This window comes from Homo sapiens, chromosome 18 (genome assembly GCF_000001405.40).
Source record: "Homo sapiens chromosome 18, GRCh38.p14 Primary Assembly".
NCBI classification, from domain to species: Eukaryota; Metazoa; Chordata; class Mammalia; order Primates; family Hominidae; genus Homo; species Homo sapiens.
In genome coordinates, this window is record NC_000018.10 from 74,310,139 (window position 1) to 74,324,027 (window position 13,889).

The 13,889-nt window shown below is 41.1% G+C and overlaps 1 protein-coding gene across 1 annotated transcript in view, besides 2 other annotated features; it reads left to right on the forward strand.

Moving 5' to 3' along the window:
- Positions 726 to 895: an enhancer, noted in NCBI's record as "experimental_50334 CRE fragment used in MPRA reporter constructs". NCBI's record gives its function as "activates a minimal promoter by MPRAs in K562 erythroleukemia cells, with activity observed for both the introgressed and non-introgressed 18:71978184 variant alleles {active_cell/tissue: K562}" and the evidence as "EXISTENCE:reporter gene assay evidence [ECO:0000049][PMID:34662402]".
- Positions 5,701 to 13,889, forward strand: part of C18orf63 (chromosome 18 open reading frame 63) — a 43,351-nt gene continuing 35,162 nt past the window's right edge. The window contains exons 1-4 of the mRNA NM_001174123.2: positions 5,701 to 5,971; positions 7,696 to 7,861; positions 10,375 to 10,453; positions 12,560 to 12,616. Coding sequence (NP_001167594.1) covers positions 7,728 to 7,861; positions 10,375 to 10,453; positions 12,560 to 12,616 — 270 coding nt within the window. The 5' untranslated portion in view covers positions 5,701 to 5,971; positions 7,696 to 7,727. The remainder of the gene's footprint in view (positions 5,972 to 7,695; positions 7,862 to 10,374; positions 10,454 to 12,559; positions 12,617 to 13,889) is intronic.
- Positions 5,909 to 6,078: an enhancer, noted in NCBI's record as "experimental_50341 CRE fragment used in MPRA reporter constructs". NCBI's record gives its function as "activates a minimal promoter by MPRAs in K562 erythroleukemia cells, with activity observed for both the introgressed and non-introgressed 18:71983367 variant alleles {active_cell/tissue: K562}" and the evidence as "EXISTENCE:reporter gene assay evidence [ECO:0000049][PMID:34662402]".

A 13,889-nucleotide genomic window follows, 5' to 3' on the forward strand; every position in this document is an offset into this window, starting at 1 on the left:
AATCTTTGCTCCAGATCTTCCTTCCAGGATTACCTGCATACACTGCTTTCAATAACTTCCTAACAGGTTACTCTCACCTCTAGTCCTGACTTCTTCAGATCCATCCTCCATACAGGAGTGGACTCAAAATTAAAATCTGATCATATCACTACTTGCCTAAGACCTTCCCACGTCTCGTGATAACCAAAGTTCAAATTGCTTACCACAACATAAAAGATCACTCAAAATCTGGTACCTGCCTATCTCTCTAGCTTTATCCTTTGTCATTTCTGCCTCAAACCTTAGAACCCAGCAAAAATTAGCCATTTTTAGTTCTCCACACAGCACACTTTCCCAACTTCCATACCCTTGCTCAAGTCCTCTCCCTTGCCAGAGTACTCTCTTTACCTCCTTTCTCCCACTTTCTCTGTACTGGACAAGGGCTGAGGACTCTTTACGACTCAGCTTAGGAGTCACTTCCTGAAGGAGGCATGTACTGACAACACCCTTCCCTTCCACTAGGTGCCCTCTCAGTGCTTCCTTGATTCTTTGGTTATATCACACACACCAACTACATCGTCCATCTACATGGCTGTCTCTCTCATTGGCTCAAGGGTTCTTTGGGACAATGATGGTTAGTCGCATTGCTATCTCCAGCACTAGCACAGTGCCTAGCACTCAACAGATGTTCAGTAAGTGTGTTTGAATGAATAAGAGCATAAACGTGATCCAGAAGATAGATTTTAAGTACATGGAAAATCATAATTATATTGTAACCAGACTGAGAAATGTGGATTTACTTACTTATCTGTCACTAGCAAGAGTACCAGCAAAGTTTTAAATTTTTTCCATGACTTCTACTAAAGCTGAAATATTGTTTTATTTCTTTTCCAGTATAGAAAACAGAGGGAAAGGGAGGCTAATGTCAGCAGCAGCATGAAAATAGTTTAAAATGAAAATGTGTGCTGTAATCAACTTGGACTTGATTAAGTCCAAGTCTGAGGTGCTTGATAAGTAACACAACAGGAACAATGGAGAGGGCAATGGCATTTTCATACCCTATGCTGCTAGGAGTCACATGTCAGATACACAGCTATCTACTTTGATAAAAATAGTCTAGGAACTCTAAGGTTGATTCGAGATGAAACTAAACCCTGGACATCAGTGTCCAAGTATGCAACTGCATCCATTGGATCCTTCTTTCCCTCAGTTCCCTCAGTGATTACCAATATCACTCCTTGCCACCCACCACTACTCTTCTTTTTTTATTACTGTGGCACAAGTGGGGATGCATAGCCTTTACCTTGCTTTCTTATAGCACTGTTAGAATATTAAAATGAACTTCACAAAAGGATAGCAAAAAAGGAATTATGCATAAAGTACAATGATTCTGTTACAGGATCTTTGGGGTGTCACTTTTCTGGCAGGAAACCTCTGTGGCTGGTGGCACCTTTGCCTGCAGGCCCCCTGGGCTTATTCCACCCACTTGGCCTGGCAGGCGGCACTCAGCTCACGCTACTGGCTGGATCCCATGCCTGCCAAGGGTGAGCCAGGTGTGGAGGGACAAGGGGTGTGTGAATGAGCAAGCATGGGGTTCAGCCACTGCACACAGTCAGGCACACTGGCTGCTGCTGCAGGGCAGGGCAGCTGCAGGTGCTGGCACAGGCACCGACTCTCTGCAAGGCTGCAGCTGGACCAGGCACCCTGCAAGCAGCTTCCACGGCTGCCACCAGGGAATGTGGTGTTGCCCAGAAGCTTGGAGACTCCAGGAACTGCAGGGCCCCAAAGAGGGAGTCACAACCCAGGGTTGGGGAGCTCCCAGGTCTGGGGTCCCTGAAGGGCCACAGTTCTTTCCTTTTCACCTGCAACGTGGCGAGCAAGGGGTGTGTTTCAACCCTGTTTGTCTTACAGCTTTTTCAGCCCTGCCATTCAGTAGGTCCTGAGCTCTTCTCCTGCATCCGGGAAGAATGAGGTATGTGGACACAAGAAGGGTGAGCAAGGCAAAGAGAAGGTTTATTGAGTGACACAATAGCTCAGAGGAGGACTTGGAGTGTGTAGCTCCTCTCTGTAGACAGGTCCTCCTGATGTCTCTGCAGCTCTCCACAGAGAGGAGGCCCTGGAGTGGGTAGCTCTTCTAGCTTGTCCTCTTGACATACGCTCAGCCCCACCCTTATGATCTCATTAATCTTAATTACCTCCTTGTAGGCCCTGTCTCCAAATATAGTCACATGTAAGGGGGTTAAGCTTCAACATATGAATTGGGGGAGACACATGACTCAATCTATAGCAGATAAAAACCAAAGCAAAGGAAGACCAAGGTGGTAAAGTAAGATAAAACAAGAGTAAAGTTAGTAACAAGATGAACTAACATTCAGTAAGTGTTTATCATGTGGAAGTATTTCCAAACATTTTATATACATATATACATTATCTCATTTAATCCTAACAATAAGACTCTGAGCTAGTGACTGTCATTCCCATGTGTCATATGGTCAAATAGTATCTTAGAGAAGCAAAATATCAGGCTGAAGGACACATAGTAAACGTGACTAGTATTAATACCAGAGCCTCCATAGCCTGTTTTATACTTCTTCCCCATGGTTTTAATATTAACTATACCTGACACTTAAATTGTCCTTTCATCAAGCACTGATGTAAGTATTTTATGTATTTAATGTGCATTAACTCCTTTATTATGTTAAGGGGTATATTATCACCCTAAAAAGTACTATTATAATCCCTGTTTTTAAGGTAATGAAACTGCAGTACAGAGAGGTTAAGTATCCTACCTTAACATTACATAGCTAGTAACTGGCAGAACCAGAATTCAAATCCAGGCAGTCTGGCCCCAAAGACCATGCTCTTAACCACTAAACAACAGTTCCTCTCATGCATATATAAAGATGCATTTCCTCAAGTCCTGCACAATTGCTCCAAGTGGATCTCAAATTTGGTTTTGAGCTTATCGGCTAAATCAAAGATGGTAGCAAGATTCAGAATTCATGACATAAAATCTTACCAGTTTCTCACGGGCATACTATAAAAGATTGGGAGACATCTGCTTGTGAATCCATTCAATAAATACTTGTTAGGCACCTTTTATATGATTAGAAATGGCCTTTTTGGTATTTGGGTATTTGGTAATGTGAACATAATTTAAAACTTCACACCAGGCACTGTGACTCACGTCTGTAATCCCAGCACTTTGCAAGGCCGAGGCGGGCGGATCACGAGGTCAGGAGTTCAAGACCAGCCTGGTCAATATGGTGAAACCCTGTATCTACTAAAAAATACAAAAATTAGCCAGGCGTAGTGGCGTGCGCCTGTAGTCCCAGCTACTCGGGAGGCAGAGGCAGGAGAAATGTGGGAACCCGTGAGGCGGAGGTTGCAGTGAGCCGAGATTGCGCCACAGCACTCCAGCCTGGGCGACAGGGCGAGACTCCATCTCAAAACAAACAAACAAACAAACAAACAAACAAACAAACAAACTTCAAATGTCTTTAATTCTGCCTTGGTTAAAATTATTGTTGAAACCAGAGGCCATAAGTTCAATAGCACAGATATTAAGAACATAAAGTGTTCATACATGTGCTTTTTGGAATAAAGAACACTTGGCTTCCCTTTGTTTAGATAGATAGGAAAGGCTAGTGAATATCCACAGTTATCACAAAATTTAAATTGAATCTATATTTACTTTTTACCTGTCTTCATAAAACAGAGGGGTTTCTTTCCCCATGTGTACATACCAAGTAGGACAAAGAGATTTTCTGTAATATCGAAAGGTTTGTTTTAATAATTGCAAGGACTGTGACATAAAACCTTCAGACCGCAGGTGTTAAATTTGAGACATTACATTTGTTAGACTATTTCAGAAGATTGTGTTTTGTTCAATTAATGTAAAGTGTCTTTGTCTTAGGAGGCTGATTTGTCTCAACAACGTTGTGATAATCACTTACTATAATCTCACATCTGGGGTCATAAGTAACCAAACAATTGTAAACATTGAACACATTCTTATTGCTAGGAAGATATGTAAAAATGTTCCTCTTTGCCAAAAATTATTTTGCAAATAAAATAGGTAAATGACTTTAACTGATTAGACATTAAACACAATATAAAATCTCATTCTTTCACAATACCACTTCTGGGAGCTGGCAAGATGTGGGATTGAAAAGTAGCAAATCTCTGACTTAATGAAAATTTCCTGACATTCCACCCATGAAGTTCCTTGTCATCTCCCTGACCTCATATTGGGGTGTCCCAGGATCCAGTGTGAGGGTTCCTTTTCTTCCTAAATGCACTCTCATGGAGATCCAATCTGGCCTCAGGTTTTAAATAGCATCTATTATATGCAGATCTTTCCCCAGAACTCTTATTGTTCCTCTTCATTTCTCAATGTCAACAAGTCCAAAACTGACATGAACCCTCCTGATCTTCAGCCCCAAACTTGCTCCTCTTAGTCTTCCCCTTTGTAATTAATGGCAACCCAATCCTTCTGAATTCTTAGTATAAAAACCTTGGAGTGATGCTTGATTCCTCTCCCTCTCTCTCAGATCCCACATCAATCCATATCCAAATCCTATTAAATCTAATTTCAAAATATATCCAGAATCCAATCCCATCCCATCCCATTCCCTCCACTGCCACTGCTCTGATCCAAGCCACCTCTCTCCTTATTGCCATTGCCTCCTAACTGCTTTTCTTCCTTTCCCTGTCCCCTTCAGTCCATTCCAGCACAGCAGGCTGGATGCACCTTTAATACTTCCATGGCTTATCGGGCCTAACCCTGTCTGGCTCTCTGTAACTCCTCCTGCCTCACGGAGCCACTTCTTTCCTGCTCTACTGCAGCCAGCTGGCGTCCCTCCTGCCCTGGCCTTTTGTAGGATTCCCTCTCTCGTAACAAACATTCTCCCCCGAGACATGCACGAGGCTGCCCACTCTCACCGCCTTCATGTCTTTCTCAAACGTCCCGTTCTCCACGAGGCCTTCCTGACCACGCTATTAAACCTAACGACTTCTCCTCGGCACTCCCCGCCTCCCTACCCTACTTAATTTTTCTCCAATGCACCTATCACCATCTGCCACACTAAGATTTTGCACATTTATCTTGCGTATCTGTTTTCCCCCAACTACCAAGTAAAATGTGCATCCCACAAGGACCGGGAATGCTGTTTGCTTAGTGCTCTATCAGCAGACCTTAGAAACGCATCTGCACACAGTAGGCGCTTCGTGGATTTACTCCCACGAGCTTGCACCACGCTTCCCCTCCACACCAGGCATGAAGATGTTCCAGTCATGGAGATTCCCACCACTAAAGGAACTGCAGAAGCTGTAAATTCGGGCATGAGAATCTGAGGAGAAACGTGCCGAGGCAAGAGGCTGGGTAGCCCCTGTGCAGCACGCAGTTAGCCGGGGCTTCAGCGCCGGAGCTCCCCGTTGGACGTGTTGCGCTGACCCAGCTTTCCCGCCTTCGAGGGCGGCCAGAACCTTGTGTCCCGGCCCCACCCACACCAGCTCAGGCTGAGAGAATCTCACAGGGCTTCACTGGGTCATCCGTGACCAGCTTTGGTCGGTTCCTGCCTTGGCGGGAAAAGTTGACCTACATTGCGTGCCAGGAGCGCAAGGCTTGCAGGGCATGCTGGGAGAGCGCAGGGAACGCTGGGAGAGCGCGGGAAATACTGGGATTGGCTCCCGAGGGCTGTGAGGAGGGCACGAGGGGACACTCCGATGAAGGCAGGGCACGCGGGGCGAGCCGGGAGCGTCTCCTGAGGGCAGCGAGGAGGGAGCTGAGGCACGCGGGCTCTCAATCGACGCCCCACAGAGACCAAGAGGCCTGGCCTTGGGGGGCAGCTGCTTGAAGGAGGCAGAGCGGAAGCGAGGGAGACTGCTGGAGGCCCTGCCGCCCACCCGCCCTTTCCTCCCCCTGAGGAGACGCCTGACGCATCTGCAGTGCAGGAGGCCGTGGGCGTTAGAAGTGTTGCTTTTCCAGTTTGTAAGACCATTTTCCTGATTCTCTTCCCCACGGTTGCGGAGGAGCAGGTCAGGGCCGCCATGAGGGCAGGATCCCGGTGCCGGCGCCGGCACCCTGAGGACGTTGGTTTGGGTCAGGAAAAAAATGTATTCATCTGCAAAGACCCATGAGTCCCAATTTTTCGGGCATTTCATTATATCGGAAATTTATAGAATCACCTTTTAAAATGGATTTAGCTGAACAAAGACCTTAGATTCGTTTCCACTCACGTCCATTACTGTTCTCACAGAAGCCAGGCCGGAAGAGGGGTGGGCGCTCGCCTGGGGGCAGCGGCAAGCCGGGTCTGGGGCCGCCCTGAACCCCGCGCCCCGGGAGGATTTTTAGGAAGGGTCCCTCGTAGCGGCGGTCCCGAGGCTTAGCGCACAGCACTGCAGGAGCTGGGCGCTCCCAGAGTTTTGGTCCTTTGGGGTTCTCTGAGTCCTCCCTCACGTGTAGAATTGCGTAGGTGCCTGTTGCCTGCTCCTAGCACTTGTTCCTTGCCCTGCTGGGGATTGGGAATAAAGATGAAATCCTGGGACAGAAACGTAGTGGAGCGACTCCCTGGACAGGATGTTAATAGCGCATCCGTAGATCATAATAAGGCTTGGCCCACGTTTTGAGCTTCACAATATAGTTCTACAGCCTAGCCAAAGAAAACAACATTCTTTTTGAATCTGCAAGTTTTGCCAACTAGGAACTCACAAAATTAAACAATAGTAATAATTCTAATAAATTCATGCTTATCCCTGAACAGATCACTCTTGTTTACATACAGTGTTGCAATCCGTGAGTATTTGAAGATTGGCAAAACGGGAGGACTTGCACCCAGGAATTTTTTGGTGACCTGGAATTTACATTCCTACTGTATTACATTCCTGCTGGCATTGCCAGCATTCCTCAGATGACACCACAAACTCATTTCAGTACTGTGATCAGAAGGCTGGTCACACTGCACATTCCCGGGCCAGTATATTATTCTTTCTTAAAAAGAAAAAGCATGTTGATGTTGAAAAGTTGAAAGTACTAGAGTCCAGCTTACTTTTCCCTAATGTATTTGTGCATGTTAGTGTACTGAAGCTTCACTGGGTTGCTTTACTTTTATATTCCAGTTTTTGTTACTGTAGTAAAATGTAATGTAGACTTCAAAGGTATACCTTATGAATTATCAACTGTAAACTGTGCCTCCAATAGAATTTGAAAGCTGGATAATTTAGTGGAAACAAAAACTAGGTAACAATTTAGAGACCAGTAAACATTTTCTGTCGTGTACAATGAAAAATAATATATTCCTCAACCTTGAAGTGCTTTACAGAAAAATCTGAAACAACAAAAGACTTTGCTATACATTTTGACTTTTAAAAAATAGTTATTGTTATAGAAAAAGGAGTGATGAAAATATTCTAAAAATTATTGCAATGATGGTTGCACAACTCTGAATACAGTAAAAAACAGTGAATTGTACACATTAAATGGGTGAATTTTATGTTATGTGAACTATATCTTAGTAAAACTTGTACCAAAAATCCTAGAAAATCATTAGAAGACCTTAAAGGTAAATGGCAGGGATACTTAACTGCTGAAGTTTGCAAACTAACTTGTTTGTATCATCCCATTCTAAAACAATATCAAATATTGTGTGCTGACTTGGTATTGGAACTCTATTGGTAAGATAATTTACTACCTTTTTTTGCTGTTTATTTTTAAAGGCCTGATTGCTGAGACACTCAGTCAGGAAAGTATGAATGATTCTAGGCAGCAGTCTCTGTTCTTCATCACACTTCCAGATTTAAACAAACTCTGTGCTGTCAGAATAATACTGAGTAATAAGGTGGCAGATACTGAGATTAGGACTATACAAATGAAGATGTGCAGGTAAAAAAATACATCTTATAACTAAGACTTTTAAAACTTTGAGACCTATAAAAGCTGTTTTAGAGGAATTTTCTATAAAGCAAAATACTCATTCACTCAACTTGTGTTTATAATTTTAAAATAAAGGAAGTCAGATTTTGTTTTGACCAGGTATATTGGATTATATTTAAGGAGGGATTTAAAATACTTGCAATAGAATTATCTCACTGTTGAGTTTTTATATCTGTGACCTCTTATGTGCTTTTTAAAAGTTTAAAATCTCCACAGACATTCATGAATTAAATTCAGGCTCCCAGAAACTTAGAGGTCCTAATTAATCAATATTTATGGAATACCTACTGTTTTCCAGTAGGTATTTCCAGTAGGTGGGGCACTTAGAGATCCTATAAACATCTTAGATTAGTATAGTTTCTTAATTCTCAAGTCAGTATGAGACACTGTGGAGTATTTCTCTAGGATCTGTCTCAAAATATCTGATCCCACATAGTCGTTGAAAAACAGCTTAAGAGGGCCGGGCGTGGTGGCTCACACCTGTAATTCCAGTGCTTTGGGAGGCCAAGGTGAGCGGATCACGAGGTCAGGAGTTCGACACCAGCCTGGCCAACATGGTGAAACCCCATCTCTACTAAAAATAAAACAAATTAGCTGGGCATGGTGGCAGGCACCTGTAATCCCAGCTACTCAGGAGGCTGAGACAGGAGAATCGTTTGAACCTGGGAGGTAGAGGTTGCAGTGAGCCAAGACTGTGCCACTGCACTCTAGCCTGGGCAACAGAGCGAGACTCTGTCTCAGAAAAAAAAAAAAAGGAAAGAAAAGCAGCTTAGAGGAAACCTAAAGTATAATTCCATGATTACTGAGGACCCTCCTTTAAATTGTTTGAGGCACTCAAAGGAAGAGTCATAGAAAACATGAGAAGATTCTATATTTAAATGAATTGCTTAGAGAAGAACAAACAACTAGAAGATACCCAGAGGCAAGAAATAAGGAAGCCACTTTTGGGGTGTCCTTCATTTTCGTCTTATTTACAAAGTTTTTCTTCTCTCCATTGCATATTTTCCCACCCAGGGGCATCAGGGAGCCTGTACCCTTCCTGCTAAAGTATAATATGATACCTGTTAAGGACTTAATCTGTGACTCCTTTTGGAAATACTAAAATAGGTAGAAAACCTAAAGTGAGGTTTTTCTTCTGCTTGTCCTCAAATTGAAGGCAGCCATTCCCACAGAGTGGGGTTATCTTCACTCACCCTCCCGGTAATTGACAGAGAGTCTTGAATAGCATTTGGCTCTCTCTAGTAGCATTTGGCTGTGTCAGGTAATGGCAGGCCTTGCCAAGGCAAGTACCTGATATACCTTGGTTCCAACAAATATGAAGCCACCAGAAACAGATTGGCCCGTGTTGCTTTTTAAGGTAACCCCATACACATCCTAATGGTTATTTTAATTTGTTTCTTTGATGATTAGTAATGTTGAAGGTTTTCAGATTTCCAGTTGTATTCTTTTTGTGTTTTTCCTATCTTTCCCTTGAACCTTGAAATGAAATTATTAATGGTAATTTGATTCTGATGATGTTTGTTTTAAGTTCATTTGGCTGTTGAAACCACTACCCAGTTCTTTCTGGCTTGGGAAGAATTTCCTTTCTGAAGGAAAAGGATTTAGTCAGTAGTTCTAAATGTTTAAGTGGTTGGTAACTTCACTGATAGGTGAATCCTTAGACTCTTGCCTCTGGTGCCCCCTGCCCACCACCTTTTTTTTTATTTTAAAGGAAAAATGGAAGAAATAGGAGTTAAAGGAGACAGATTCTTCACTGTGTGTAGATTTCTTCAAGTATATAGGACAAAAATTGAGTTCTAAAAGATGAATTTAGGTTCACAGATGAAAGAGATTGGGAAATTCAGATGCGGGGACAAGTTCTCAAGTTAGCATTAGTATCTAAAACTTCCTAATTCTCTTAAGTCAAATATTGCCTGAGTACCTACACCTACACTGTTCAAGGTGCTATGCAAAGTGTGGGGAGAGAGTCTCTAACACAATTGTTGCCTAGGAGAAACTTAACGTTTTAGCTAAGCAAAGGTTTAAAATGTTCCAATAGAGTAAAAACGGATAGTGAGTGTATTAGTCTGTTTTCACACTGCTGTAAAGAATTACCTAAGACTGGATAATTTATGAAGAAAAGAGGTTTAATTGACTCACAGTTCCGCAAGCTTAACAGGAAGCATGATTGGAGGCCTCAGGAAACTTAAAATCATGTCAGAAGGGTGAAGGGGAAGCAAGCACCTTCTTCTAATGGCAGCAAGAGAGAGAGGTGGGGGGAGGAAGTGCTACACACTTTTAAACAAGATCTAATGGGAACTCACTATCACTAGAGCAACAGGGGGGAAATCCGCCGCCATGAGCCAATCACTTCCCACCAGGTCCCTTGCCAACACTGGGGATTATAATTCAACATGAGATTTGGGTGGGGACACAGAACCAAACCATACCAGTCCACTTTGTAATATATTTCATCTCCACAGGCAATTGCTGTTTTTGCATCAAGATATTCTTACATCACCTGTGTCTGGAATATTAAACCAAATCTGGGTGGTGATGGCGGTTAGTATTTTAATATTTTGTGAAATGTTATTACTAGTTGAGAACAATATTGATAAATAATAATTTAGGTATTATAGCTAAAGTTAAGATGTTTATGAGGATTAATTGATTAATCACAATGTGTTACAGGTTAATTGGATTATTAACAAACTAATATTGAAATGCCTGATGCTTAAAATCCATTTTTGTGGTTCTAATTTAACATTTATTTTTCTCATTATAAATGCTAAGATAAAGACTGTTAATGAATAAAACATGCTACAGTATAATTTTTAAGATAGCATGGGCTTGATACATTTTATCATATTTTATTCTTTAGACTAAAAGGAAAAAATTTCTCATTTCAACAAATCTCCAGTTGTTTTTAAAGAACTTGGATCAACATTTCTTCTAATGGAACATTTTATTTAAAATTATTTTTACACTTAAAATTTTAAAATTAGTATTAGAAAGATATTTCCCAATTCTGTATGTAACCCTGAATTATAGCGAAGTGCCAAAAATCTTTCTAAAAATCATATTATCCTGAGATTTTTATCAAAAATCTTCCTGGAAATTCTGTTTTTCTGATATTTTAATTCCCAGAATCCAGTGAAATCAGCATTTATTGACAATGCTGATAAATCATCTAAAAGTTTAGTTCTTTTATTTTTCTCCTAGGTCTTGGTTATATGTCCACCTCGTATTTTCCCTCCCTCCCTCCCTCTCTCTCTCCCTTCCTTCCTTTTTTTGAGACAGGATATGGCTCTCTTGACCAGGCTGGAGTGCAGTGGCTCCATCTCGACTCACTGCTACTTCCACCTCCCAGGCTCAAGCAATCCTCCTCCATCAGCCTCTCGAGTAGCTAGGACTACAGGTGCATGCCAACATGCACAGCTAATGTTTTGTATTTGTGTAGAGAGAGGGTTTTCCTGTGTTTCCCAGGCTGGTCTCGAACTCCTGAGCTCAAGCAATCCTCCCACCTCGACCTCTCCAAGTGCTTAGATTACAGGCTTGAGCCACCGTGCCCAGCCATATTTTCTTATTCTTACTATAGTTTTTTTAAAAGGCAAGCTGTTGGTGAACAGGTAAATTAATATCTTATTTGTATCTTTTTCTACCTAAACATCTTTATGGAACAAGGACATTATTTTAGAGTACTAGTAAATTCAAGAATGTGAATTTAAGCAAGGGCGATAAGAGGAAAGTAGCTATCTGTTTTTAAAAAATGTATTGCTTTCTTACAAAGGTATTCTGTAAAAAAAAAAAAAGTTGATGTTTAAAAGTAGAAAATGGGATTACATACATACTATTTTGAAACTTGCCATTCATTTCCCCTTTAACAACCTTTCCTGGATATCTTTCCATGTCAGTACACATATCTTCCTCACTTTTAAGGCTGTGAAATATTTCATTGTATGGATGTATAGTAATTTACTTAATACTTTCCAGTGCACATCTGAGTCTGTGCTCTTACAGTGTTTCAGAAAGCATCATTGAAATTGTATCACTTTTATTTGTCTGATAATTTGTCGGTTACATTTTTAGAGGTAGCTTGTAATACACTTTAAACTATAATATAGATACTGCTAAATTGCTGTCTGAAAAGCTTTTTGCCGGATTGCATGTTAACAAATAGTCTGGGAGGAAACCTGTTTTTCCATACCCTCACGAACACTGTAGATATTCACGCCTTTAAATAGTTGTCAGTCTGTTAGGTTACAAATAATATTTTCCTTTAATTTGTATTCCTTTTATTAATAAGTTGGAGCACTTAGGCCTTTGAACATGATCTTCCGTTTATGTCCATTTTCCTTATTCATGCCTAAGAATTCTATATTAAGAAAGGCGTTAAATATTGATTATACAAAATTTATTGACCTTTTCCTTTATATGGATACTGGGGTCATGTCACTCCTAGAAAGGCTTTCCTCACTTTGAAAATGTGCCCACAGATTCCAATTCAGGGAGAGAATGATCATCACTTCTTCTCCAAGGCACAAACCCTAATTGGATGATGGCCTGATTCTTTGCCCTCTGTAGAATAATGCTTAAAATCTTTATTGCATTATTTAATTATATATATATATGTTAAGTCCTTTTTATAAATGTGGATTTTTGTTACAGATACCATTTTATAAAGCAAGAAAACTTAATGCCTATGTTGAAAAATATGGAGCTAAGGTAAGTGTTAAAAAATGATATTAATACCATATGTTGTTTATAGGGATTATACGTTCCACTCCTTTTGTCAACAAACAAAAACTGGAGTATCTTTCTCATAGACCATTGTTATGCGTATGAAAGAACCCAACAAATTTTTTCTAACAATTATTATGTGCACAATTAGTGCAGAAAGAGGAGAAGAGGCTTTTTTGTTGGATGCTTTATTTCAGGCATTTTATGTGGCATAATCTTATTTGCCATATACATCTTCAGATAAGTGAATCTCGTCATTTTCACAGATAAACCCAGAGTTGGGATTATTGTCCACATTATATAGCTAATATGTAGAGAAATAAAATACTATAGATTGTATTCTACATGGTGATGAGCTTCTGGATCTTCACAAAGAGAAAGATGAATACAGTGGTTAGTATTCATTTACTGAGACCTCTCTGTGTCTCAGTAAGTCATGAAGCCTTGACTAGAGCTCCTTTCATGCCTCTGCATGTAACTCTGAGACACTGTGTCATTGGTTATCCCAGAAGCAACAGCTGTTATTGCTGGCCTCTGTTCCTAAGTCTAGTAGAGTTTGGAATAATGAGGTTTCTAGTCATCTTTAAAATGAGATGTTGCCTTTAGGTCCTAGGGAAGTAAAATGTCAATAACACTTTCCAGTTCCCTGAGAAATCTTTGAATGACCTGAAAGCTGGTTCCAGCCATCAGTTACAATCTGTGGGAAAACAGTATTATTCAGGAGCAATGAGGAAAGAATATGTTTACATCTTTTTGCTGAGACAAGTCTTTGGTCATCTAAGGATTCTGGTTATCTTGAAAGGCCATTTACAAGCTAGCTATGAGAACCAGATTTATAGTATGTCATTCACCTAGAACTAGGACTTGGGTCTTTAAGCAATCTCTACCATATTCTATTATTTATTAAGGCCTAAGAATAGGTAACATTTTAGTATAGCAGATCCTTGAGTAAATTAATTTTGTTCAACGTTGTTTCAATATAACATTAATGAGAAAGGAAAATAATTCAGTTCCCAGCCAAGGCCACTGTCTGTGTGGTTTGCACCTTCTCCCCTTGTCTGGGTGGGTTTTCTTTTGATACTCCAGGTTCCTGCCACATCCCAAATATGCACACATTAAGTGAATTGGCATGTATAAAGTGTCCCAGGCTGAGTAAGTGTGGGTATGTGTGTGTTTGCCCTGCAATGGAATGGAGTCCTGTGCAGGGCTGGTGCCCACCTTGCACCTGGAGCTGCCAGGATAGGCTCTGGCCACCCAC